The sequence below is a fragment of the Homo sapiens genome, chromosome 7 (genome assembly GCF_000001405.40).
Source record: "Homo sapiens chromosome 7, GRCh38.p14 Primary Assembly".
Taxonomy (NCBI): domain Eukaryota; kingdom Metazoa; phylum Chordata; class Mammalia; order Primates; family Hominidae; genus Homo; species Homo sapiens.
The window spans coordinates 29,479,460-29,507,005 of NC_000007.14; the positions used below are offsets into that span (position 1 = coordinate 29,479,460).

The window sequence follows — 27,546 nt, forward strand, 5'->3', positions numbered from 1 at the left end:
CTCTGATATCCCATTTGGTGCTCAGACTGTTCCAATGTAATGCATGCATAAGAATAAAAATTAAGCTTTCAAGTGCTAAGGCAGATTTTTAATAAAGAGACATAGGCTTTACCCCTATAAGATTAAACAGTCATCAGGGTTTAAAGGTTTAATCTGTTGGAGCTCAGCCCAGGATGGGGTTCAGAGCCCCAGATTAATTGGATGCAGCCTCAGACTTTGAACGTCAGAGCTGGCTGGGGGGTGTGTGCGCTGGTGTGTTTGAGTGTGAAATGTGCTAATAAGGAGGAGAGACCTCTCCTTTGCAATGTGCTGCGGCAGGAGAAAGCAGGCTGCCGGCCCCTGCCTCCCTGAATCCTCAGTGGCTGACTGGATACCGCTTCTGGGGGTTGCTGTGCACATGAATGTTTGCTATTGTTCCAGGCGCACGTCGGCCTTAAGAAATAGCACAAAACAGGCCCATCCTTATTCAGAAGCCGGGCCCCCTCCATCACTCAAACTGGGCCTTTCAGGTCACATGCCGGAGGCTGCTGCAGACAGGACCCAGCTGCCTCAAATCTGCCGCCTAACATAAGCTGCGGTTCGAAAATCCTGACAGCACAGGGCTTCCTGGGCTCTGCAGAGCAAACTGGAAAGAGCTGGGATCCAGGCACTATGTTCTCTGAAGAACTGTGGCTGGAAAATGAGAAAAAGTGTGCTGTGGTTCGGAAGTCTAAGCAGGGCAGGAAACGCCAAGAACTGCTGGCCGTAGCCTTCGGGGTGAAGGTGGGTGTCAAAGGCGGCTTTCTTTGGCCCCCTCTCAAACTCTTTGCCTGTTCACAGATCTCCTCCCTGGTTCGAAGGGCTGCCCTCACACACAACGACAACCACTTCAATTATGAGAAGACACACAACTTTAAGGTAAGCAAGCCTCTGCATTCCTTCTTCTGTTACAAAAGGGCAGGTGGAAAGGTACAGTGTATAGTTTCCGTCTGGTTTCTGACTGTAAAGTCAAGAGACAATGAATTCCTTTGCTTTCCACATTTAGCTATAAGCTTAACACCTGCGCTTTCTGTCAGTTCAAACTGGAGACCTCAGAAAGCAGTCTGCTCAGTGCTTATGCCTGGAAACACCTTATCTGGATGTTGACTTAGTTTTGGAGAATTGGGCCCATTGCCACTTCACGTTCCCATGTCCAGTGAAATAAACACAGAGCATGCCCAGTCTCTCTCAGTCAGAGATGTTCTGCTGAGAGCTGAGCAGTACTTTTCCACTCAGTAAAGAATATTGCTGTCTCCGAGCAAGGGAAAACAGTTGCCTGTTTCTCGTTTTGTGTTTTGTCTTTTGTTTTCAGTGATGCTAACTCCTTTCCTTTATGCGTAGACACCTGTGAAATCAAATAATGACAGGAGATGCCATCCAGAAGCTTTTATTTGTGCTCCGGGTACGGCTAGCAGGGGGGGCACCCTTGGTCACAGCCTTTATCCTGCTCACCAGACCAAACAAAAAGATCTGGAAACCTGGTGAGGGGTTAAGTGGAATTTCCCAAGTGAATTTATAAACTGGAAAGACCGCTATGTTCGTTTCAGACTGGTACTTGTAGAAGGGGCCTGCCATCAGAAAATTATGGCCTGTTTCCTTTGCCCAAGTGTTTTCCAAGAAGGGCTGGAAAGGGATGCTGCTGCCAAATTGTCTAGCTTGAATTGCAGTTGAGAGGAGGAGAGACAGGTTAGAGTTAGAGGCTTCACCCCAAAAAGTGAGCTGGCAGTTTGAAAGTTGGGGAGAGTGGAGATGGAGGATCCAGGAAGAAAACAATAGGCAGGAGAAGCAAAATGTGAATTGCTTTCTTTTAAAAAAATTCTTGTTTCCTTTAGGGTCAGTAACCCAAGTGACTCTTGGAATTAGATAACCCTTTTGTCAGAGGTGACGAGGGAAACTGATTTTATTCTGTTGCTTTCCGATCCTTTCTGAGGACAAATATTCATCTATTAAATATACATTGGTGTTAGTTTGGTCTGTTTCCCTGCATCTGTTTTTAGAAAGCCAGCAGCTCAGGCATTTGCATGCTATAATTGAACTGAGGAATGGAATTATACAGCCCTACATACTTAGCATTAGGGTGAAGAATTGCATTGCATAGGTCCTCTTCTATGCCAAAGCTTTTCATATTTCTCCCGTCACTGAATATTGACAGGTCTAATTTGGAGCATTAAATGCCTCCCGTTTTTTTTTTTTTTTTTACTCTGTTTTCCATTTTTATCCTCATTAATTTTTTTTGGCCTTAAGAAAGTGTTTTTTTGATTTTTAGCAGAAATCCTTGATTTTTTTGCATCCTGTGGATACACTACTAGTGATGAGAGGATGGATCTTCATGGACTTGTAAATTCTTTTTCTTCCTCTTGAAAATTCCAATTCATTTGGCGTTAAGAAATTGGAATTATGCCATACTATAATATGTTTGCATGGAGTAGCTTGTCCATGTATATTCTGTGTCTGAGCTTGTGTTAAAAACACACAAATATACATAGTTGATATTTTCAAAACTAATTTCAGTCCTTTTAATGTTAGATCCCTGAATGGAAAATTAATCTTAAGACATTTTAAAACTAAAAGATAATTAAATCTTATTTTTTAAGTAGTACTGTTGCTAACACAATATATTACTTATCACTGGAAAACACCAGCAGCTCTTCTAATATTTGTTTAAAAACTCAAAAGCTATTCACCGTTAACAGCTCTTGAAAGAAGAAAAGGCACAAAATAGAGAAGCTGTTCAAGAGGAGTACACAAGCCAGACAGGAGCGTTTCTCTTCCATGTTTTAAACAGACATCTTTGAAACTTAGCAGACCTCAAGTAGCTGTGACAGTTGATTGTGGCATTCGATGGTACTGTTGGTGCCACTGTCCTTAAGAATGAGTGGCAGGGGCCAGATGAGGCATCCCCTTTGTCCTTCCTTGCCCTTTCCACCCTCAATCTCCCCACTCCTCACCCGCAACTAACTCTAGGTGGAAACTTTACATGGTTTTTGGAAGAACATTCAAAAAGCAGGCTCAGGCTATAAATACAGTGGCAGGTTTTTAGGGACAAGCCACTGAACTGAACTAAAGGAAGAAAATTCTTATCCTAGGTCCCTGCCATCTGCTTGGAATTTGTGTTTCAGACCTTAATTTTACATTAGCTTTTTATTTACATTAACTTCTAATGGGCTTTATTCAGAAGCCTTCTTGATTTGTAATTCGGGTTAATATTTGAGGCTACTATGTGCATAGCATATAGTAAGCAGTCAATAAAAAGAACAAATAATCACATTTTCATGCTCATCAGATAATAGGCTTTGCTAGGTGCTGTCTGCACTTTTTTCTTTTTTTTTTTTTTTTTTTTTTTTTTTTTTTTTTTTTTTTTTGAGACGGAGTCTCGCTGTGTCTCCCAGGTTGGAGTGCAGTGGCGCGATCTCGGCTCACTGCAAGCTCCGCCTCCCGGGTTCATGCCATTCTCCTGCCTCAGCCTCCCAAGTAGCTGGGACTACAGGCGCCCGCCAACACACCCGGCTAATTTTTTGTATTTTTAGTAGAAACGGGGTTTCACCGTGTTAGCCAAGATGGTCTCGATCTCCTGACCTCGTGATCCGCCCGTCTCGGCCTCCCAAAGTGCTAGGATTACAGGCGTGAGCCACCGCGCCCGGCCTGCACTTTTTTCTAGAGGCCTCCTACCTGACATTCAAATTTGCCAGTAGAGTTTCTCTTCTTACCCCATAACAAGATTGTTTGCCCCAGTCAGAACTATTACCCCAGGTAAAAAGCCCTTTCCTTTGCTCTGCCCAGGAACTTTGTCAAGAGGAATGAATAGAAACCCCCAACATTCCCTAAGTTGGGACCTTGCGCTCTATTCTCTCAGAAAGCTCACAGTCACTGCCTTTGCTTCTCAAACAAAGCTTGTCTAAGCAAAGTAAAATTCGGCTCTGAGAACAAAAGCTTTGGGAACCAAAGGACAGTTGGCACCTCATCGCATGCAATAATTGTATACTTTTCAACACTGTGTGCTGATGCAATCTTTGCTTATTTAAAGCCTGGATTTCCTAGGGTTACTTGTACCTACTAGGCACTGAGACGTATTTGTTGGAGGAATGGTGAAATTAACAGACTCCTCTCTAAAATGAAAACTGTTTGTCAAGAGAAAAACCACTCGGTTATTTAGCTCATTTTATAACTGCATCTCTGTTTATCTAGTTGATTTAAGGAGGCACTCTGCTGTAACTGGAACAGCTCTCTTTTGAATGGTCCACCCTAATAATACCTTATGGCTGAGCTCTGAAAATCTTCAGGCCAGCCAACCCCAGAGGCCCGGCAGTCGGCTTGCTCGGCTTCCTGCCCACACTTAGCACAGTGCTGAGGTAGCTTTAGCCCGCATAGTACTCCTGGCCACACCATGTTCTTCCAAAGAGCTCAGCTCTCTCTGCCTCAGTTCCCTCATCTATAAAATGGGAGTGTTGGGAGGTTTAAAGAATACATGCGAGTCACTTATCGTGGTCTCTGGCACCCAGTAAGTATTCATTTGATGTTAGCATCTATTATTATCTTTTTGTGCCTCTCACTTGTATTTTTGTATCTAGCTTTTTCAGTCTTTTATTTTCTACCCTCTCTTCTTCATGGCTTTTTTTCTTTTGTCTCTTTTCTACCATCTCTTTCTTCTTCTCTCATTAATTATATGTAAGAGAAAATGAAATAAAGCCTGATGGTTATTTCCTTGAATGTATTCCATCCTGTAGCCAATACTGGTTTATACCCCTCGTTTGTTTAAAAAGTAAATGGATGACTTAGATGATTTAGATTTAGATTTCACACATTTTTCTCCTAGCTTTTAAAAAGTACTTTCTATTAAAGCTGTCATAACAAATGACCACAAACTTGGTGGCTTAAAACAACACAGATTTATTTGCTGGTGGTTTTGAAGGCTGGGAAGTCTGAAATCAAGGTATGGGCAGGGTTGGGTCCTTCTGGAGGCTCTGAAAGAGAAACTGCCCTGCAGCTCTCTCCTAGCTTCTTGTGGTTGCGGCAGTCCTTGGCGTTCTTTGTCTTGTAGACACACCACTCCAATCTCTGCCTCCATCTTCATATAGCCTTCTCTGTATGTCTCTGTATATCTGTCATCTTCTTATAAGGTTGCCAGCCATGGGATTTAGGGCCCATACTAATCCAGTATGATGTCGTCTTAATTATATCTTCAAAGACCCTATTTCCAAATAAGGTCATATGCACAGTGACCCAGGGTTAGGAGTGAAGCACACCTTTCGGGGGATATACGATGCAACCCGTTATAGGAACTGTAATTGACATTTTCAGGAACCCTCAATAGGAAGGATCTCTAGCCTCACCCTAAAGGATGCATTGTCAGTAATGTTAAAGTTTACAGTTTCATTAAAGATTTTTATGTCCATGAAAAAAGGTCTTTAGATGTAATCTAATTGCTCCTAAGTGTCAACCCCTTGGTCCAGGCATAACTGCTGATTTCCATGGCTATTGATTTTAACATCTGTAAAGAAAAGTTTTCATGGATTTTTCTTATCAGTGCTTCATTGCTCTGATAGAAAGTGGTGAAACTTAGTTATTCTTTGTCTCTTATCTTTACCAAGCATTTCTTCATTAAAAGAGGCACCAAAAAAACTTTAAAATAGCTGGTGAGCTTCCATTTTTAGTAGCAAGTTGAAAGTGTCTATTTGCTGTAGCTGGTTCATATTCAGAGTATGTGTTATACTTTATAATCAAATTTATGATGTAGCTATTAGTTCACACTAATATGTGTGATTGATTATGCAGGACTGGGCAGGTAATGTGTGAGACCTAGTATAAAATGAAAATATGAGGTTCTTGTTAAAAAAAAAAATTGAGACTTTCAAAACTATGACAGCAGCACATTAAACCATGCTAAGGACAGGGCTCTGTGCAACAGCGCAGGTCACATGCGCCCTGAAGCTGACCCTGTGGTGATGTATAAAAAAACAGGAGTAAAAGACAAGCTTCTGTGAGCATTCAAAGAGGAGGGGGCTCCCTAGTGCTGGAGATCCTGTGTAAGAGACAGTGTGGTTGTTCTCTCAGCCTTAACCAAGAATCCTCGTGGGTAGGTGGAAAGTTGGCTGAAGCCCAAGTAGATAAATAGATCAAGGATGGTTATACAGGGGAAAGAAAGAGCACCCGGGCTATGCAAACAACAGGAGTGAGAACTTGGAGTCAGAAATGTGCCAGGAGCGAATAAGGTGCAGGGGAGAGACCTCGGGGACAGAAAGGAGTCCATCACATTTAAATCATCAGTTGGGGTGGGCCAGATGGTGGAAAGATGATGATTCCTGGGCCCTGGAGCCATCAGAGTCTCCTGAGCAGGCCCTTCCCCCACTCAGCCTGCTGCTTCTGTTCCCAGCCTCTCCAGTCTGCATGGGGATCTGCATCACTCTTTCCTGCCAAATTCTCTCCCACCCCCATGCACTTCCAGGATACCCTTCCTTCTTCCCGATATGGAATATGGATGGAGAGCAGAGGCCCAGAAAGTTCTAACCCCCCTCACTGTGTGTTCCCCACTCCCTTTCCACCCCCCTTCCACCTCCTGCCCAGCCTGTACCAGCTTCCCTTTTCTCCCTAGCGCTGATCACCAGCTGACATCGTACATATTTATGTGTGTGTTTGCCTGCCTTCCCCTTACCAGAGGGAAACTCCCGATGGGAGGGGGTGGGGAGAGAGGGTTCGTGGAGTGGGGATTTTTGTCTGTTTTATTGACTGCAGAAACCCCAGTGTCTAGAACAAGTCCTGGCCCACAAGCTGTTCATTCACGTTGGCAGAAAGCAGGGGACCGTATCTCCCTACAGTTGAGCTTTCGGAGCCCTCTCCTCACTCCCTGCCCTGCAGTTTGCCCTCTTGTGCGGCTTGTGTGTTGTATGCACCTGTGTTCATTGTACTAGAGTCCTTCCACGGAGTGGGCCCTTGCCAGGGTCATCAGATGGCGCAGGAGAGATGGAGGCCCTATCAGGATGTGTCGGGCCAGCTCTCAATCCCCATTTGCCAGGGATGGTGACTGTGCAGTGCTACCCCGTGTCTGATCCATGGGAGCGGGCGGGTAAGGGGGAGGAGGGATCTGTCCCAGTTCACTACAGCTGTCCTGTGTGGCGCCTTTCAAAAGCATCCCATCAGGACGTAGGGGAAATGGTTGCCCTACTTACTCTTATATGTCCCCCACTCTGCTGACAGACTGAGGATGCACCAGGAGCACCCCGTTCCCATGGCACACCCCATCGCGTGTGCTCTTGTAGCATGCTCCTTCTCAACATGCAACCCCCACCCCGTGCTATCCTGGAGGCCAGGACTAGAAGTTCAAGAAGCTAAGAATATGTCCCCACGCTCCCACTAAAACACCTGTCCAGGACGTGGCAGCACCACCACCTCCCAGTTTGGATTTGAGGCTCCTTGATGATTTCTAGGCCTTTCATTCATTTTTGCATTCTTCTCAGTCTAGTGGTCATTTGCTTTGGAAGAAGACTTTTTGCTTCCCGCATGCAAGCCCCTCTCTCTTCCTCTTCCCCCTTGACCTCATAAAAGTGTGTCAGCCCTTCGTGTCATTCCCAGCATTTTGTCTGCCTTGCCTTCTTATCAAGCTCCCAGGTGTCTATCACCCTTTTCTGTCCATCTGATGCTACTTCTGTGCCTGGAGAACAGGGATGGCTGGATATTGCACCTGCAAATTGACACAGGCAGAAATTGGCTTCAGAATGGTTGGGGGCTTGTTTTGTTTTTTTTTTGTTTGTTTGTTTTGTTTTGTTTTTTAAGTTAATAATCAGAAAAGGCTGTTTTGCCAGAAACAAGTCTGGAAAGAAAATTCAAAACAAAGGCAAAACTCATCACCTTAAATATAAAATGAGGGACTCAAAGTGAGACTGGAATAAACAGGTTTGGAAATATATGGCTTTATTAAAAAAATGTTGTTTCTGCTCCCAGAGTGCTATGAAGAGGAGTTGTTTTTGTCTACCTCCTAATTCAGCCTGCTCCACATTATAATGATTACAAAGTCCTTGTTTTCAAGTAATATAACCCCTGGAAACTATCTTAAGCTAAATAGACTATTATACAGGATGGTCTCATAAAGCCTCCAGGGAATACTCAGAACTCAGGGACGGGTGGAAACAGGAACTGGGAGTATACCTGGAGCCAGTTTCTCCCTCTCTTCCTCCTTCCCTCCCTCCTTTCTTCTTTTTCTCCTTCTAACTCCCTCCCTCTTTCTCTCCCCCTCCCTCCTTCCTTTCCCTCCCTACTTTCATTATCTCTTCCTTCCTCTGTCTCTCCTTCTCCCTCTCCTTCCTCCAGAGGCATCCAGTAGAGGCCAGGTGTGCTACTAAACGTCCAGGACAGGCCACCACAACAAAGAGTTGTGCAGCCCTAAATGCCAGTAGTGCTGAGACTGAGAAACCTCACTACTGGCAATGGGGAGCCACTCGAGGTTTTTGAGCAGGGAAGTGTCAAAAGGATGTGGGTGTCGATGTGCTCATAAACCTGATCAAAGTTAAGTAGCATGAGGACATCTTACTTTATGCAGTGGGGAGACTCCCAGAAAGCTTTGAGACAATCAATATTTTAGAAATGCAATCCTATCTTAAACTAGGGCAGCTGCTAATGAGAAGTCCAGGGATCTGTGGTGCCCGGTTTGAGAAACTCAGCTCTCCTGCCCCATCTCCTTGGCCAGCCTTTCAGAGGGAACTCAGAGTGTCTGTCATAGATTGATTCACCTCTGCTGTGTTTTCGTACATCTGAAAAGGGTCACTTCAAGGTTAGGACTTCATCTGGTCTTGCAAAAGGGGAGAGTTCAAAGTTTAACCTAATTTTTCATATGAGATGAATGTCACATGGTTGTGGGAAATACAGTAAATTATAGGAAAAGTCCTTGGCAGAGATCTGGAAGCCTTGACTGTGCTGCTGACCTGGGTGACGCAGGATAGGCTGCCTGCCCTCCAGCCTCTCAGTTAACCCTGGGCAAACACTAGACTAGACCTCCAGAACCCAGCCACATGTAGCTGGAAGGGACTTTAGCTCTCTCTTCTGTGAACATAAAGTAGCTAAACAAACAAACAAACAAACAAACTGCCTCTGACCCGAAGATTCCTTTTCAAAGCAAAAGAATAAAATTCTGATTTTTAATATGAATAATAAAATGACAAATTGAGGCAATAAGGTTTCCATCTATACCACTGCTTCTCAATAAAGGAAACTTCACCCCCCCACCTCCCCCTGACCCCTGGGGGACATTTGTCAATGCCTACAGATATTTGTGATTTGTCCCAGCTGGGAGTGCTACTGGCATTTAGTGGGTGGAGGCCAGCGATGCTGCCAAACATCCCACAATGTACGAGGCAGACCCCCACAACAAAGAATTTTCCAGCCCAAAATGTTAATCAGTAGTGCCGAGGCTAAGAAATCATGATGTATACTGGTAAGAAAAAGCAAAAATTCTCAACTGCAGCATGTCATAAACGGTACTTTTCCTTCTTACAGTTTCGATCCCAGGCTGAGCTGATATTAATACATCTGGGTGGTGTCTACATTGACCCATCAAAACATATCTGGTATAAAACCACCAGAGAATACTGCCTTCCAGATTCAGCAGCTATGAGACAAATAACATCCTGTTCATTTAGAAAGAGCTGTGTTGAGAGATACTTGCTAAATGCCTGAGATCTTTCTGGATGACTCTTCTTGCTCTTGTTTTTGCAAAGTAGCCATTCCTGGGCCATTTGTCAAACATACCTTATCTCGTGTAATATCATCTTTTTTGTTTGGTGTGGTTTTTGAATTCCAGGCAGACCGTGCCTAGTGTAATAGTCTTGGACAGACATTCTTCCTGTCTGGAGTATTTTCTTCCTGTCTAGAATATTTTAGTTACTGCCCTCAAGTTTTCAAACTGTTCTTTCTCTAAAAAGATATTCTTGCAAATCAGTGAACTTCAGAAAATGGAAAAAGCCGACCAGTGAATTTTAAGATACGGTATATTTCAATGAAAGAGTAGACATAATAAGTAGAAGCCAAATAAAATGGGCTCAGAGCATGCCCTCAGCATTTACACGTAGCCTTCTGTCTAGAGATTGTCCTTGTGGATCCAAAAGAAAATTGAACAATATATCGGTCGTGAAAATAAACAATGGCCCATCACCAAAAAGGAAAGTAGGCAATGGGCCTAAAATAATGTTTCACTTTACATCCTTGCTCTATTCTCATTTTGTTTTATTTTTTGGGGACTGTGTGGGGACACTGGGTGCTACTTGCTCTTCGAGACGTCTATGCATTTATTTGGCTGGACAGAACAGATCAAAGGCAGTAGGGATACTTGTTGGGAAAGGATGTTGGTAAATATGGACAGTGATAATAAGCATTAAAATGCAATCCTGATGTGCTCAATTATTTTTAAAAATATTGGCAAAAAAAGTGAAATTTTAGAAAATCTGTGATTAGCCTATCCTGTTTTTCCTGAAACAATAGGCCAGTTTATATTTTGTCAATATGCATTCTGTCCACGTGTAGTAAACATGTAGCCACTCACTTAATTTCTAAATATTGCATTTTCATTTTTACCCCAAGATATAGGGATATTTAAGATGAGGTTATTTCATCCACTCAAGATGTTTCAGAGACCAACGTGATGTCATTCCTTTTTTTTTTTTTTTTGAAACACCATTTGCCAGAAAAGAATGCCTTTCAAAACCTAAGCCCACCTTCATTGGCCTTTGGTTATGCTGTTTTCTCTTCTGTAAATGTCTTCCTCAAGTCATCTGCTCTCCAGTCAACACCATCACTTCCCCACCTGCTCAATCTTTCCCAGGCTGGTGAATTCCTATCCATCCTTCAAAGCCCAGTTCAATATCCCCTTCCGCAGACTTCTAGGAAGAATTTATTATTCTCTCCATTATACTACCATAGGATCTCCTACGTGTTCTGCTGTATCACCTGACACATAATTGCCTGTTTATTCTTGTAGATAATGAGATCCTTGAGTGCAGGCAGTTCTTATTCCTCTGATCTATTTCAACTTTGTATATCCAAGGACTAGTACAGGGCCAAGTTCAAAGCAGGCAATCAGCATGTAAATATCAAACAAACGAGTGAATAATGAGTTGCTGGAAAGGTGGAAATAAGATGAAAATAGGATATAATTCATCTGTCTGACATCCTTCCCCCATTAATTTGTAATGCCACTTCTGAGATATACCAAGTATCCATATATGTGTGATTTGGTTTCTTGTCTTTCCAGTGTATACTACTGGTACCAAATGTACTGTACCAAACATACTGGGCTTTGGCTCTCTATTTGAAATGTTATTATATTATATTCAGAATATGGTATGTATGGTATCAGTTTTTTGTATATGTTGAAGCTTAATTTGTGGTCAATTGATACGAATATTCCAAGTGGTTTTGAAAAGTGTGTGTGTTCTTTGAATGGCTGGATATGAGATCCCTTTCGTATTCATAGATCAACTTTAGCTATTTGATCTACTAGTTTCTGTGAAAGATGTCAAAATCATTATGATTGTGGATTTGTCAATTTATCTTTGTAAGTCTTTCAATTTCGCTTTATATTTTTGAGACCATATTGTCATATAAAAGCTCAAAATTATATACTTCTGGTAAAAATAAATCTCTATTATCTCTATCACTAATAATGCAAATATATATATTTGCTCTATTTTGGGTTTCTATTGGCTAGTTTGCTGGGTATGGCTTTCTTTCTTACATTTCTCTCATGTTATGTTTTAGTTGTGTTTCTTGAAAGGATTTTTAAAATGTTATCTAAAAATCTTTTTTTGTGATGAATTAGAGCCACTTATTCTGATTAGAGTTGTATAAGGATTTTTTCTACAATCACTGTACTTTTCTATTGCATCTTTTTTCTCCTTCCCTGCTTTTTATTGGTTTAATTAAACCTATATTTCTTTTTCCCTTATGTATTTGTGTGTGTGTGAGAGAGAGAGACAATCTCAGTCTGTTGTCCAGGTTGGAGCACAGTGGCGCCATCATAGCTCATTTTAGCCCTGGACACCTGGGCTCAAGCCATCCTCCCATGTCAGTCTCCTGAGTAGCTAGGACTACAGGCATGTGCTACTATGCCCAGCTAAATTTCAAACTCTTTTTAGAGATGGAGTCTCACTATGTTGCCCAGGCTGGTCTCTACCTGGCCTCAAGTGATCCTCCTACCTTGACCTCCCAAAGCACTGGGATTACAGGCATGAGCTACCACACCCAGCCATATATTCTTTTTGATTAATGGATTTCATCCCACCCTTTTTTAAATTATCAAAAATTTAATACATGCATAATTGACTTCAAATATTCTTCAGTTAATTAGTAGCTCTTCTTACATTTCCCAAATTAAGAGAACTTTAGACTTCTTCATCCCCTTCAAACTTCCATGTCATTTTTTTACCCCATGTTTAAGTCCCCTACAGTTAGTCATCTTGTTATTGTTGTATGCAAATAGGGCATGATTAGATTGACCCACACTTACCAGTTTTCTTGCTCACCACTGCTTCTGGAAATCCTTCCTCCTAGATTCAATTTGCTTCTCACTGAAGTATATCCTTTAGTATTTCTTCAAGTGATCATCTGTGATTGGAAACTCTTGACATTTGTCTGAAAATATCTTTATTTCACCCTTACTCTTAGATGATAATTAGCTGGGTGTAAAAGTTAGGTTGGCAGTATTTTTGTCAGAGCACTTTGATGAAATTATTCAATAATCTATTCATGTCTTCCTGCTGAAGAAAACTCTATTTTTACCTATTTCTCCCCTTTCAAAGATAACCTGTTTTGGTTTTTGTTGTTGTTGTTGTTTTAGGATTTTGCTTTGTCTTTTGGTATTCTGCAATTTCAGTATAATGGCATAGATACAGATTATTTTTATTTATCTGATTTGAGTTTCATTTAGCTTTTTTTTAATCTGAATATTTTGTGTCTCACTACGAATTCTGGAAAGATCTCAACTGTTCTTCTCCTTAAATATATATTGCTTCCACAGATACCCTAAACTCCATCATTTCTCAACTTCTGAGGATCATCACTCCTTTGCTTATCTTTTCTCTCTTCTGCATTTCCAGTCTCTTACCTATTGTATCAAGTTCATCAACAAGTCAACTTGCCTTGGTGTTTCCCATCTTTTAAAAAAGTCCTTCCTTGACTCCACATCTCCCTTGAGCTATCCTCTGTCTCTGTTGAACATCATAGCCAGCCTTCCTGATAGAGGAGGTACCCACATATTTCTCTACTTCCTTACCTTCTTCAGTTCAGTTGAGTCTTACTTCTACCCTCAGCCATCCAAAGAGATTGCTGTTGCTAAGGTTGCTAATGACTTCCATGTATCTGAGTCAATATTTAGTACTTATTTCATTGAACCTCTTATCAGCATTCAACATAATTGACCATTCATTCCCTAAAACATTCTTCACCTCTTGGCTTCTGGAACACTTTGTTGGTTTTCTCTAAATGTTTGAACACTGAGTGCTCAGGGATGAGCTCTCTTTTGTTTTCTGCTCCCTACCTTTAATATAATCATGTGCTATATAACAATATTTAGGTCAAGAATGAACCACATATATCATGGTGAACCCATAAGATTATAATGGAGCTTCCCTATGTAAGTGTACCATTTTTTATCCTTTATACTGTATTTTTACTGTACCTTTTCTATGTTTAGATATGTTCAGGTACATAAATACTTACTGTTATGTTACAGTTGCCTACAGTATTTAGTAAAGTGACATGCTGTAGAGGTCTGTAGCCTAGGAGCAATAGGCTATACCATATACCCTAGATGTGTAGTAGGCCCTACCATCTAGGTTTGTGCAAGTACGCTCTATGATGATCCCCCTCAATGATGAAATCACCCAAGGATGCTTTTCTCAGAATGTAGCTCCATCATTAAGTGATGCATGACCATACTTTTTGTTCATTCACACAATTTTAAATATCATCTATTCATCATAGATGGTGAAATTTATACCTCTGGTCTTTGCTCCTCCTCTGACCTCTCAAACTATGAGTTCCTGCTTGACACTAACACTTGGATATCATAGCAGCATTTAACCCTAACCCATCTAAAATGGAATTCTTCACTTTCTCCCCAGAAGAGTGTCTTTCCCATCTCAGCAAATGGTATCATCATTTACCTAGTTCCTAAGCTAGAATCTCAGAGTCATTCTTGACTCCTGTCTCCCTCAAAGGCCCACACTTCTACTGTCAGGTCCTATAAATTCTGTCTTCAAAATATACCTCAAATTCTTCCACTTTCCATCTCCACTGCCAGCATCCAGGTGTTAGGCTCTGTCATTGTTCAACTAGACTACAACATAGTTTTCATATCTATTCCACTATTAACACCCTCTCATTCATTTTCAACACAGTTGTCAGAATAATCTTTTAAAAAAATCTATGTGAAGTCCTCCAAGAACTTCCTACTGTACTTAGATTGAAACAAAATCCACACTCATGAATAAAGCCTTTAAGGCCCTGTGTAACTTTTCCTATCCTACCTTCAGCTTCACTCCAATTCCTCTCCCCGCAACTTTTGGTGTTCTGGCCACCCTGGCCATCTAGTTCCTTCACCACACCAAGTTCTTTTGCTCCCGCAAGGCCTCCATATATTCCTTCTGCTGGGAATGATCTCTGTCCCTTTCTCTTTCCCTGTGGAAGAGAACTGGCTCTTCTTTTACATCTGGTCACCTTCCAAAAGAGGCTTTCCTGACCATTCTGGTTAAGGTTGGGCCCCACTTGGTCTCTCTAGTAGCAGCCTCATCTTTTTTTCTTCTGTAGCCCTTTTTATACTTTTTTTTTTCTGGAGTTGCATTTTACATATTATTTTATTATATTTAATTGATCTTCACAGCAGATTAACAATTGACTTTGCTGCCATAATTAAGAGCATTTCTAGTAAAATATTAAGAAATGTATGATTGCTGAATTTAGAAAATGTCCAACTTTAGATAGGATACTTTACTGAGGAACTCTTTTAGTACTGCATTCAATCTTGGTAGGCCTCTAAGTGAATTATGACATTTGGCCCTGTAAGTCCTTCTGGGATGAATTCTCTGCATTCCTGTTAAAAAATGCTTTGTCATTTCTTAGGGTCATTCCCTAGAAAAATGTTGAGAAATTTTTGGCATCATTTTCAAAGCAGGAACTATATAATAGGCAGTTTGCATATGATAAACTGAAATACCAGAAAGACTACTATAACTTCGCTTTATTACAGAGTTATAAGTTGCTCTTTTTTATTTATTAACTAGCTTATCATCTTTCTCTGCTTTTACTCATTGGTTTCCTTAGAAGAGATCCAGATCCATTTTGTTTGCCTCTTTATGTACACCCAATTACTAACATGTATGAATAAAGAACTCAAACTGAGGCTCTTTTTTTCTTAAGCAGAACTCGGATGAACACCTTTCCAAATTGTGACCACACTCATCATCCTGCTTTTTTGTTAAATAAAAGCAGTTTGTAAAAAAAAAAAAAAAAAAAAAAAAAAAAAAATTGTCTACATTTCTTTTGTTAATAGAGGTTTATGACTTTGAAAGGCCTTCTATAATGCTTTATAACATTTTAACTTTGTAAAAATTCGGGACATTTTTGTGCACATTTGTATGGCCCCGATAGACTGCCTATGGTCATTTTAGATTGACCATGGCCACATTTCCTTCTTAAAGCTCTTTGATGCCAGTATTTTTGCTTTGTTTTGTTTTCATTTTAAATCATAATTTAATACAGGAGGACCTATGCCTCAAAATAATCAGAGATAAGACCATCCTTACTTTGTGATATTCAGAATATTTAACAACTGGCTGGGAGCATCAATCAATGAGACCAGCACTTTGGTCAACCAGGAAAGATTTTCAGCTTACTTACCTGAAGGCCACACCAAGTCCTACTGAATATGGAAACTATCTCTGGGGAAAGCAATTCCACAGGCCTTATTGGTTGCCTCCATGTTTAGCCAACTCCTTTACTTTTTAAAATGCCTTTTTTGGAAGTAGCTCAAAGACTTGGAACCTTTTAATTATCCCATAATCATGTCTTATTTATACCTGCCTGGATAGTGTAGAGATGGGAAAACTTCAGTCAAAAGGACACAGTAATTGAGTTCTGCCTTCCAGAACTTGCTGAGCTAAATGCAGGTTATAGCGACCAGCTTGGGCTATCTTGGGTTTGTCCACACAGTGCCTTGTTGTGGGTGGTCACAGTCTTACTCCTTAGCTGATGGCATGGCCTATAATCTGTTTCTCCACGTTCCTTTCTGACTCTGTCCTGGGGCATGGTGGATCGATGAAGGATTTTCAAAGATCAAAGCACATCTCTGTTTTCTCAGGATCTGTTTGCAACTGCTTTACTGGAAGGAAAAGCCCAGTGGGGGATCGCTCCTGCTGATCTTCATTGACATGTCTGAGGCTACCTGCCTTTAAATGACTCTGAGCTTTCTGACATTTTTCTTCTTTTTGGATCACAGGTCCACACGTTCCGAGGCCCACACTGGTGTGAATATTGTGCCAATTTCATGTGGGGGCTCATCGCCCAAGGGGTCCGGTGCTCAGGTAGACACAGAACTTTCTTCTTTTCCAATTATATGAAATGCCACTGTGCTGAGCTGGAGGATGTCTCTCCAGAGCTGGGAAATGTGCTCAGATTAGCTCAAAAGTCTAGCCTTCTGCAGGGTTCAAGGCCTGTCTGTGCTTAATGGGGAAACTATTTCAAGTGTTTGCAGGAATGAAAAAGAATATATCATGTTTATGCAAGAAAAGAAAAAAAAAAACAAAAAGTACATTTCCTTAAACACCTACCTGCCTCTTACAATAGGCAGTAGTCCGTAAAAGAAAAAAAAAATCAATTCCAATGGAACTGCATAGCTAGAAAAGCCATACTTTGTCCTACCCCATCTTGCTACAAAAGGTAAGACATAAAAATAGTAATAGTGCTGGTGAATATTTACCACATACCAGGCACCAGTTAATCTCTATTTATCATGTCATTAGCCTCACCAACAGACCTTGGGGGAGATGCAATTATCCTCCATTAAAAAAAAAAAAAGACACAGAGGCTTGTTATTTGCCCTTGGCTACGCAGTAAGGAATAGAATATTGATTCAATGGGAGCCAGATTCCAGAGTTCATGCTCAGTATCTCATTGTCATCAGATTAGCAGTGAAACCATGCACCTTGATTTGATATCACATATTTTCAAAGTAGTTTGAAAGCCTGGGTGATTTTCCATCTGGAATTGGAGGTATACACCTATTGCTAACAGCATACATCTTATTAAGGTACATCTAACACAATGATAAATGATACAAATTAATGTGTAACTGGGTTTCCTAATTCATGTTGCCATGGTTTTTCTGGCAAACACTTGTGGCTGGGAGCAAGACCAGCCTCCTCTGATATTGATCAGGTTTCTACCAACACCCTGACTGACTTCTTCCTTGCTAGGATATGATTTTTAAAAATCTCAGGAGCATTTAGAATACAATAAGGTAATGACACTAATTAAGGTGATCTTTCCCATTTTGGCTCACAGCATCCCGTAAACCCTAAGTCCTCCTCTCTGCCTGGAAGAGGCTTCTAGCTTCCATTGTGTAAATACACCAATCACCGGTGTTGATACCTGGATGGTTCAAGTAGTTCCACCTCCCCCATTGCAGGTCTATGTTTAAGGGGTGGTCAACATAGCTCAGAAGCAGCTTCTCCATAAATATTCAGAAACTCTGTTTAACACTAAAGACTGACTTGCCAGGAGCCACAACGTATCTCCCAGCTCAGCCACTGAGCAAAGGGGTAGAATATCTGAATTACTCAGTGGTCATTAATTTGGCCTGTCCCTATTGTACCTATCAAAAATATCCCTAATTGCTGGTATTAACCAGTTTCAGCAAGAAATTGGTCCAAAGTCAATATTATGAGAACAAAACTCTGGGCTTCATATTAGCTGTGAACAGCAACTTTTCAAGTTTCTCTGGGATAAAAGCGTTTTTGTGGGGTTTTTTTCTGGTTTTGTTTTTTTTTTTAAATAAGACATTTTCTGAGGCCATATTGTTAGTATTTTCCAATGGCTACTTTTTGGCCTTATATTTCCTCTTAGCAGCAGGGAGGCTAAAAACTGATCATGAAAGGTTAGGAAGAACCATCATTGCCTCTCAGCTTTCCATATATTACATCTTTTAAGTATTTTTAGAATGCACTGGACTTTATTTGTAGAATATGGATTTCTACTGCTTTGTAAAAAATGGAGCATTTTTACATTTGTTATAGAACATCTTAATTTTAATAAAATATCAGTATTAAACTCTACATAAACACATTGTTGCTTTAGGTCTTAAATGAACATGGATGATTCCTATTATATGTGGTACCTAGGGCAGCAATTCCAAGAGGTAGAAAGTTGAATGGTAGTTACAGGGGATGGGTAGATGGGGAGTTATATTGTTTAATGGGTATAGTTTCAGCTTTGGAAGATGAAAAAAGTTCTGGAGATGGCCGGTGGTAGTGGTTGCATAACAGTGTGAATGTACTTAATGCCACCAAACCATACACTTAAAAATGGTTAAAATGATAAATTTATCAGAATTTAACAAAAAAATTTAAATGAAGTTTGTAAGACATACTAAGAATTCCTAATGAAATCACTTCAGAATTGCTGGGCAGATATACTTACATTTTTTTATCACCATATTTGCTATTTATTTTATTTGACCTAACATGTATACAATACTTAACTATATTTCAGACACTATGCTAAACACTTTATTAACTTTTATTTGAGCCTCATGGCTAATGCCAGGAGGTAGGTGCTATTATGATCTTCTATAGAAGAGGATTCAACAGGAAACCCAGCCAACTCTATTTAGCGCAGTTAGCCAAAATTTACATTCACTAGATAGATGTATCAAAATATTATTGAAGTCACTTGAGCTTTGTTGAATTTCTCATGTTGATAAAGATTAATTAGAACTGTTTTTGTTTTTTTTATTTTGAAAGGAGGTAGACAGAGAACTCAGCCAATAAAAATTACATGAAAATCACTTAGAAATTACCACTGATTTTACAAAAGTTTAGATCCTCTCAAGTTCTTGGTGTGCTTAAGTGCTATTTTATAAAGCAGATGACTACAATATTCCTTATCATGTGTGCACGTGTGTGTTATTCTTTGTGCCTAGGAAAACAGTATTAGAAGATACTTTGAGTAGAGAGCACATCAACTTTGAACAACTTCAGCATTGAATTTTTCCCTTTCAGAATGTAGCAGAATGTAGACTATGCTGCCTTTTTTTTTTTTTTTTTTTTTGGAGACAGAGTCTCCCTCTGTCACCAGGCTGGAGTGCGGTGGCGCAATCTCAGCTTACTGCAACCTCTGCCTCCTGGGTTCAAGTGATTCTCCTGCCTCAGCCTCCTGAGTAGCTGGGATTACAGGGGTCCACCACCATGCCCAGCTAATTTTGTATTTTTAGTAGAGACAGGGTTTCACCATGTTGACTGGTCTCAAACTCCTGGCCTCAGGCAATCCGCCCACCTGCCTCGGCCTCCCAAAGTGCTGGGATTACAGGCGTGAGCCACCACGCCCGGCCAACTGTGCCTTTTTATCATCAGAGAAATTCCGTCAGTGGATATTGACTGCTAACAGGCTCTTCGTGTTTTCATTGAACTTTAAAAGCACCCTTTTCAGCTTTGGATTTTCATATGAACTTTATAAATAATCATCACATTACATTACATGGTATTGTTATAAACTCTCAAGTACTCCTACTGGTGTATATAGTTAGGCATTATTTCCACTCACAGGTGTCAAAATAAGGCATGTAGAAAGGAAAGCGGCCTACCCAAACTGCCCAAGGAGGAAGGGATTGGAAACTATGGGGCAACCTTCCAGGAAAGGGGAAGAGGATACCAATGGTCGTGGGCTTCTCAAAGCAAAGATTAGAGAGTCCTGCAGAAAGAGTAACTCTGCCTCCCACACAAGGAGCATCAAGAGCTTAAAGGAAAGAGTCTGGAACAAACCCTAGGTGCCCTTTATAAGCCAGGACTGTCTGGGAATCCAAACCCGAAAACCTACTTGTGGACCCAAAGGGTTCCAGCCTGAAACAGGAAAACATATACAAAAAAACCTGATCAATTACCTAAGCTGTCTCAGATGTTCTGTTCTTAAGGTCCAGCGACAGAGAAGGCTTAACGAGAAAAATGGAATCATATAAGGGTTTAGTGATTAGAGATGATACTTGTATTTATCCTGTAGAGAGTCCTAGAAACGGGATAGATGTTCCAGAGAAATATGTCAAACCCTTGGGTGGTGATATTTTTATTTTTGGCAACATATAATTTGTGTTGTGCTTTGACAAAAGGGCTGGGCTAGGCTAATGTGGCTTCTTTGTTTACAGACTGTGGATTGAACGTACACAAACAGTGTTCCAAGCACGTTCCCAATGACTGCCAACCTGATCTCAAGAGGATCAAGAAAGTGTACTGTTGTGACCTCACAACACTTGTGAAGGCTCACAACACTCAGAGACCCATGGTGGTAGACATATGCATTCGGGAAATTGAAGCAAGAGGTTTGGAAAATACTTCCTATTATAGTAGTATAGTGATTTTATTTTTATTGTTTGTTTTTACTGTTGTCAAGGAAACAGAGTTGCTCTACTACTCTTGTTGGGAAAATGACCTACGCATGTGTGCGCACACACACACTCTCTCTCTCTCACAGGTAGACTCAATCCAACCAGCTATATCAATTTCCATTGTATATATAAACCATGCATATATGCATTCAAAAAATGTTTACTGAACATTTATTATATGGTAGGCATTGAGGTAATAAAGGTCACCATTCTCACCTTCAAGAAATTCATACTTCAGCTGGGTGCAGTGGCTAACGCCTGTAATCCCAACACTTTTTGGAAGCTGAGGCCAGACAATCACCTGAGCCCAGGAGTTCAAGACCAGCATGGGCAACATAGTGAGACCCCATCCTACAAAATTCTTTTAAAAAATTAGCCAGGTGTGGTGGTGCACACCTGTAGTTCCAGCTACTCGAGAGGCTGAGGCATGGAAGAAATTCATACTTTAGAGTGGGCAATCAGGGGAGCAAATAAATAAACATTGTGGATGGCCGTGTTCAGGGTACCATGGAGTCACAAAGCAAAATGTTTTAATCCTATTTAAGGACGGTGAGAAGGGTTATGGCAGAGGTGAGGCTTGAATTGGAGCTTTGAAAAAAAAGGTGCTTCTGTTAAATAAGAAATTGTTGAGTAACACATACATCTCCTACCACATAAAAATGTGCTCCTAATATTCATCGTTTATTTCGAAGAGGAGAGTTCAAAGATTTAAAAGATCTATGCAATGAAAAATAAAGGAAACAAGGAAGATAGAAACATTCCAAAAAATGTTCTTTATGTTGTACATGAGTCACTTTTCCTTTATTTGTGCTTTCTTTGGCCACTGTTCAGTATCAAAATGTTCACTGAAGTTGCCGGATATAATTTGGGTGATTTGGCCATGTATAGAGCCTTTCTATAAGGCTTAAACCACTTTTGCCATGTATCATATTCTGTTATACTGGCTATCCATTATTGTGTCCTAATTGGCTTAATATATTTTATACATATATATTCATTGGTCAACTACCCCATTTTTCCAAAGCACAACTAAAGAGGATGTCATAGCTTATTATCCCAACCCTTTTAGAGAGAGGAAATTATTCCCTTTTCTATGGAGGGGGAAAACCATAGCTATCCTGTTCCCTGAGAACTTGCTAATTTAATCCCAGAGTGTAAGAAATGCCTTCTATCTTTTCACCACTGTGGCTGACAGAGCTTAATGAGTGCTTTGGGATCTGGTGAACATATTAATCCAGTGGCTAAACTGGGTAAGAGGAAAGGAGGGATTCCCTGCCTCTGGATGAGTGGTTGGGACAAGTGACCCTGGGCCCTGCAGTTTGGGGTCAGATTATCAGCCTCTCCAGAGCCTGCAGTCAGGGCTTTTCTGAAGAAGCTGGGGTCCTCCCATTGTGATCCTTACCAAAGACAACTGATAATTCAGGCATGATAACTACTGACATGTCTAACATTTAAGAATAGGGGGCACTGCACTAAGTTTGCCTAGTACAAGAGCGAGATAGAGTAGCACAAATTAGGAATTGATGCCAAAAGAGTCACAGCACAGGGATTAGAGCCCCAGACAGGTATTAGGGGCCTAAGCATGCAAGCAGAACCAGAGAATGCACCGGGAGAAATTTGTATGACACCCGCATTCCCAGCTGTGGGGCCACCACTACCAACACTTTTCCCTGTCTTCCATCCATAAAAAATCCTTATTGTTCTCCAAATGTTCTTTTATGTTCATTTGTCTCTGCGTGATGTGGCAGAGTGAAAAGATCAAGGATTTGAAGTTAAATTATCAGCCCTGTCTCTTACTGGCTGTAGTATGACCTTGGGCAAGTTGCTTACTACATTTGCATATCTGTTTCTTCATCTATAATATGAATGGAATCAACTGTACCTCATAAGGTGGTTGGTGAGGATTAAAGTGACTTGATACATAAATGGACCGAGTACAATGTCCAATCTACTGAACTCAATCTATGTTAATTTTGCCTTTTCTTGGAATGACCCACACCCATACCTCCACCTCCAAATCTGTCTAACTATATTATGTAGCCTGTACATCTCAGTGCTGTCACAGAGACCCTGAGTAACAGTGCCTTTGACAAGATAGAAATCTATTTCTTTGCCCAGTAATAGTCCAGGTACCCAGGAGCAGTCCAGGAATAGTCTGTTCCACCGTGGCAGGAACCCAGGCACTGCAGCTTGTTGCTCTGTCCTGCTTGAGTGCTATCCTGCGTGCACAATCACAGTTGGCCACCACCATCTCATCTGCATTTCACTTAACAGGAAGTGGAAAAGAGCATGCTCCATTCCTTCAAGGCCACAGAAGCTGTAAATGTCACTTCTGCTCTCACATGGGCCAGAGTTTAATGGCCACTGCAATGGATATTGTTCTAAAAATCAAAGGTTCCATTACAACAGAAGAATGGGAGAACAAATATTGGAAGGATAGCTGGCAACTTCTGCTACTCTGGCAAACTCTAACCATCCTTTATCATTTCCTTCAAAGATTAGCTTCTTAAAAAAGCATCTCGATGTAATACAGGGTGACGCTTTGCTCAGTGAAGCATGGGCTAAAGTCAGGAAAATTACCCCCATTTAATTATAATCCAAACCATACAACTTGGCATATTATATAAGGCATAGATTTTTTTTTTTAAAAGTGACGGGATACATGTGCAGAATGTGGAGGTTTGTTAAATAGGTATACATGTGCCATGGTGATTTGCTGCACCTATCAACCTGTCATCTAAGTCTTAGGCCCTGTATGCATTAGGTATTTGTCCTAATGCTCTCCTTCCCCTTGACCCCCACCCTCCAACAGGCCCCGGTGTGTGGTGGTCCCCTCCCTGTGTCCATGTGTTCTCACTGTTCAACTCCCACTTATGAGTGAGAACAAAAGCATGGATTTTTCTACGTTCCTTGAAAACCTGGATTTCTTTGAAAGTGACTCAGTGAATCTTATGGCTGAATGTTTGTGTCCCCTGCCCCACCAAATTTACATATTGAAGCCCTAATCTCCAGTGTGATTGTCTTTGGAGACGGAGGTCTCCAAAGAAATAATTAAGGCTAAATGAGGTCCTGAGGGAGGGACCCTAAACATTATGACTAATATCCTTATGAGAAGAGACACCAAAGAGCAAGCTCGCTCTCTCACTCTCCATGCACATATACCAAGGAAAGGACGTGTGAGAGAAGGTGGCCATCTATGAGCCAGAAAGAGAGCCTCACCAGAGGCCAGAACTTTGATTCATCCATCAACAGGCAGGGTTCATTGTTCACTGCTAGGGGCTCCCATAATCCACTGGGTCTGTGCCTCTGTGGCAGTGCATGTTCCAACTGGAATGAGATGTGCTCATATGCACCAACATCTTAGAACAGGATGACCCACAGGTTTCGTCTTGTGTGGCAACTCCAGTTGATCAGTAGTGGTCACCTGAACAATTGGAACTGAGATGAATTCTGAGGCTAAATAGGGCTCAGTGGGAAAAAGGGCTGAGATCAACTAAGAGTATCTGTCATGGTCACAGGAGGGATGAGGGGAAGTATTCGTGATTTACGCCACGTATTTGTTGTCTCTGATGCATACCTAATGAAGACCCTTATATATGGCAGATAATACATACTCCATAAATGTTTTCCAAATGAAAAAACAGGAGAATATGTGAGTTATCAAGAGTTTGGCAGAATATATGGCGGCAGCAGCAGAGGCTATTTGTTTGCTCATTTTTACTGTAGCTATAGTTTTGATAGCAGCTAGTTTGTGACATACAAAGTCTGAAACCCAGTCCTTTATCCCTGCTCATACTTTTGGGAACTGACTCGTTTTTAGGACATATCTTAACAAATCAATAAGCTCCAGGGACAGAAACCATGTCTTTTTTTCTTAGCCTAAATTTGCAGTGATCCAATTTCCAGAAGCAATAACCAAAACTTTATTTTCCTGCATCTGTTTGTATAATCAGTTGTCTAAAAGTATAACAAGTAACCGTTTTTAATTAAACAGTTAACATAGTCTTATTTACAAGTAAACATGAAAGGCTGTAATAGTCTAATTTTTTCCAATACAATCAGAGTAATACAGATTAGATACCCACATACATACATGTGTGTATCTAGTACAGTGCTACATACAATATAGCACATGGATTAAGATGATGCTAGGTACCCCATTTGCGCTGCTGTGATTATTACACATCTTATGCCTGTATCAAAATATCTCATATACCCCATAAATATATACACCTACTGTGTACCCACAAAAATTAATAAAGATGATGCTAGGAAGAAAGCCAGGTTGCTTCCTACGATGACGAAATTCATGTCCATCAAGCTCATGAACACAGGAAAGGAAGTAAGGGAACGGTCCATGGGAATCTTAAATATCAGTTCTCTTTGCAAAGCAGGGAAGGATGAAGACTGGATTTCCATTGAGATCTCCACTGCTACATGGGCAAATGAGAACAGACTTGCCTGGGAAATTGAGACAGACAAGTCCAAGTTCTGATGCAACAGTGTGTGATAAATAAAATCACTGTCTATGTTTGCTCATTTTCTGATAGCATGTAGTATAGACGTGAAATTAGTCTTTTTTTTTTTTTTAGATGTTTCAAGAAGCTAAAGTCAGTCTCTCTCTCTCTCTCTAACAGGATTAAAATCGGAAGGCCTTTACAGAGTCTCTGGGTTCACTGAACACATTGAAGATGTCAAAATGGCATTTGACAGAGGTAAGCTTGTACTTTCTTGAATGCCATCTGACATCCTAACACCCTTCTCGATTGGAAGTAGGTTTTAATCATAGTAGAAATGGGGTTTCAGAACTACTAAGAGTTGTTCTTCAAGAAACGGAGGAATAATGGCTTACAAATCTCATGTTTCTGCCTCACTGGGTGAAGTGTTACCTTCACAGCCATTGATAAGTGATCACTGTCAATGGGCAGACAATCCACATGGCATTGGAGTACCCATCTGCATCCCCTGTCTCAGAATCCCATTCTTCTCATTCTCTCAAAGCTCCAAAGAAGGGATCATAGGGATGGGAGGGCACCCCCAGCACTAATGTAGGGGAAGGCAGTGGACATGTAGGAGGGAACTGCTTTTGTTCTTTATAACTGTGGTGTATATTCTCTAGAACATACTATCTCTTAAGTCAGATATCATGGCCATCCTGGGGATCCTGTTAAAAATATGGGTCACTGGGACCCAACTTGAAGACTCATTCAGAAAGCTGGATAAGCCCAAGAATCTGTATTTTTAATAAGCAATCCAAATAATTCTGGTACAGCCAGTCAAGACATGGAAGCCCTACTGGATAGAGCCTACTGGATAGAGCCTCTACTTTGTAGTGTGGTATGTGAAATCAGTGAGGTAGCCCTCCCTCTCTCTTCAGACTTCTCTCCAGTTCCTCCTCCCTACTGTACTGCACACTCCAGCAATCCTGAAATACACCCTATTTGTTGCCATGAAGAAGTGCCTTGGCTCACATTGTCCTGTCTATCTGAAATGTATTCACCTCTCTGCCTGGCAAACACCTGTAATCAGGGGTCAGCTCAAGCCTTTCCTCCTTGAGGAAGCCTCGCTGACTACCCCAAGCTAACCTCAGAGCTCCACTTCCTTTTTCCACATCCCCCCACATTCTCCACACTTCTTCAGCATAGCAATCTTCCTATTTCCTTGTCATTGTTGAGTTGCATGTCTGTCAGTCAGTCTAACTAGAACTGTTGGTTGGCAGAGAGTATCTCTTTTCCATGGTTCATCAGGGCTTAATGGTGCTTGGCACATGACAGATTCCCAATAACTGTTTGCTAAATATGTAAATAATGAAATCAACATGGCATATCTTCTATGCTTTTACTGTTTTCTATACATCGGCAGCTTTTTTCATCTTCAGAACCAAATTTGCTGAGGCATTTATTCTTTTAATTCTTTATGCAAAAGATATTAAGAATTCCTATATGATTAAAACATTTTTATCTAAAAAATGTCATAGTCTGTGACAAATTGGAGTGGTATTTCCTAACGGTAAAACTAAAAGTCAAAAAATGTCTTGAGAACTATTGTTAGAAATGGTAAGAAATATAGGCCAGGCACGGTGGCTAGGCCTAGAATCCCAGCACTTTGGGGGTTGGAAACGGAGCAGGTCAAAACTTCTGTGCTGATCCTTTGTACTGCCTACAAAGAAATAATTCTGGACCAACAATAAATACCAGATACATTAGTATAATATATTTAAAGTGCTGAAGTGAAATAACTGTCAAAATAGGCCAGGCGTGGTGGCTCACACCTGTAATCCGAGCATTTTGGGAGGCTGAGACAGGTGGATCACTTGAGGTAGGAGTTCGAGACCAGCCTGGCCAACATAGTGAAACCCCCTCTCTACTAAAAATACAAAAATTAGCCAGGCATGGTGGCACGTCCCTGGAATCCCAGCTACTCAGGAGGCTGAGGCACGAGAATTGCTTGAACCCAGGAGGTGGAGGTTGCAGTGAACCAAGATTGCACCACTGCACTCCAGCCTGGGCTACAGAGTGAGATTCTGTCTCACACACACAAAAAAGAATGATAAGAAATATAACATCACATATCCAAGAGGAAAGGGTAAAGTTTCCCAGATTAAAGTCCTAGGGGATCAGGGAGGAAGGATCAAGTTAAAAACAAACAAACAAACCCTTCAGTGAGCCTGAAAGAAACAATAAGAACTGAAACTATTCAACAATCATTTTGTGAACGTGACTTCCAAATCCAAGTCTAAAAAACACTGGTGGAGATGTATTAGAGCTTCTTGATGTTCTCTTGTTTCAGATTAGATTGTCATTTTATTATGAACCTTAGTGTCCATAATACAAATTATTGTGCTAAATTTCTATTTAGCAAATTACCAGGGGCTGGGACCCAAATCACTGTTTGAAGTT

At 40.9% G+C, this 27,546-nt stretch overlaps 1 protein-coding gene across 24 annotated transcripts in view; it reads left to right on the forward strand.

Moving 5' to 3' along the window:
- The window catches only part of CHN2 (chimerin 2), a 367,738-nt gene that overhangs the window by 332,869 nt on the left and 7,323 nt on the right, over positions 1-27,546 (forward strand). For 13 of the 24 annotated variants that reach the window (XM_011515105.3, XM_011515106.3, NM_001398427.1 and 10 more), the window contains 4 exons: positions 820-897; positions 16,493-16,577; positions 20,408-20,581; positions 25,285-25,362. In XM_011515105.3, the coding sequence (XP_011513407.2) occupies positions 820-897; positions 16,493-16,577; positions 20,408-20,581; positions 25,285-25,362 (415 nt within the window). Of the gene's footprint in view, positions 1-294; positions 898-4,356; positions 4,517-16,492; positions 16,578-20,407; positions 20,582-25,284; positions 25,363-27,546 lie in introns of those variants that run through there. The other 11 variants (NM_001039936.3, NM_001293080.2, NM_001293079.2 and 8 more) reach the window with 7 other exon arrangements.